The sequence below is a fragment of the Homo sapiens genome, chromosome 11 (genome assembly GCF_000001405.40).
Source record: "Homo sapiens chromosome 11, GRCh38.p14 Primary Assembly".
Lineage (NCBI taxonomy): Eukaryota > Metazoa > Chordata > Mammalia > Primates > Hominidae > Homo > Homo sapiens.
This window is the reverse complement of record NC_000011.10, coordinates 64,323,670-64,325,049: the sequence shown is the minus strand read 5'-3', so window position 1 is coordinate 64,325,049 and position 1,380 is coordinate 64,323,670.

Sequence of the window (1,380 nt, the reverse complement as noted above, 5' to 3'; positions counted from 1 at the left end):
TTTTGCCTAGGCTTCTTCCTTTTAGGTCAACACTCTTCAGGCTCATGTTGGGGTCTGTTCAGCTGCGTTTCAAAGGGACTCTAGACCCAGGAAGGCCCAGAACCACTGATGCTGAGTAACACCCTTGGCCTTCTGGTCTCAGTTGCTATGGCCTTGGGCATGCTAGGACAGGCAAGTGAGTTTCACTGGGGCATGTGTTGTTGGGTGGATGTTTCAGCTTCTTTTCTTTTTTTTTTTTTTTTTTTTTTTTTTGAGACAGACTCCTGCTCTGTCTCCCAGGCTGGCATGCAGTGGCACGATCTCGGCTCACTGCAACCTCCACCTCCCAGGTTCAAGCAATTCTCCTGCCTCAGCCTCCCTCCCCAGTAGCCGGGATTACAGACATGCGCCACCATGCCCAAGTAATTTTTGTATTTTTAGTAGATATGGGATTTCTCCATGTTGGCCAGGCTAGTCTCAAACTCCTGACCTAAAATGATCCACCCGCCTTGGCCTCCCACGGTGCTGGGATTACAGGTGTAAGCCACCCCGCCTGGCCTGTTATGTTTTTTAACATTGGTCTTTCGGCCACCAAGAGCCCAGGAAGGCCACACGCACAGCTCTGCCAGGTGCAGCCCAGATGTCCAGGGCTCTCTGGTCCAGGACACCGTGGCCTGGTCTGCCCTTATCTCCAGGCCTGAAGCCCCACCTGTCCAACCTGGAGACAGCTATGCAAGGTTCTCTTGCCAGGTGCTGTTTAATCTTGGGCCCTCCAGGGCCTGGAGCAGCTTCCAGGGCCAGTCCTCCGTGCCCCCACCCAAGGACGTCCTCACTCCAGCAAGCTCAGCCACATGCTCAGCAGTCAGGGCCACTGAGGCCACAGCCCCACCGCCACCCACACCAGGCTGTCCTAGAGGGCCACCCCAGCCCTGGAAGCCCTCTCAACCCTTCCTAGAGGCCCAGCCAGTGGCAACAGACCTTGGAGGGGACACTTCCTCTAGAGGCCTTGCTTGGCCTCAGCCAGCCCAGATAATAGCCCAGGAGCAGAGGAAACAGGCAGCAGAGTGACAGAGACGGAGCTGGGCTTCCCCGATAGCAGGGAGCTGCCTGGGTAGCGTGGGGTGCACAGCCAGTGGGGTGGGCTATTTGCTACCACCACCCCCTATTTACTAATGGAGACACTCATTAGCTCACAGGTGCCCTGTAGGAAGCTCCACGTCTGTTTTCTCATTTGTATGATGAGAGGATAAAGAGGTGGTATCCGGGAAAGAAAGGGGCTTTGTGTTATGCGTGTCCATGAGGACAACACTGTACCCCCGAGTTTGGCAGGAGAGGAGAGGCAGGCAGTTTACCAGGGCAGCTCGAGGTGCAGTCAGCCTCCTTCCCTGCCCCCACCTGGGA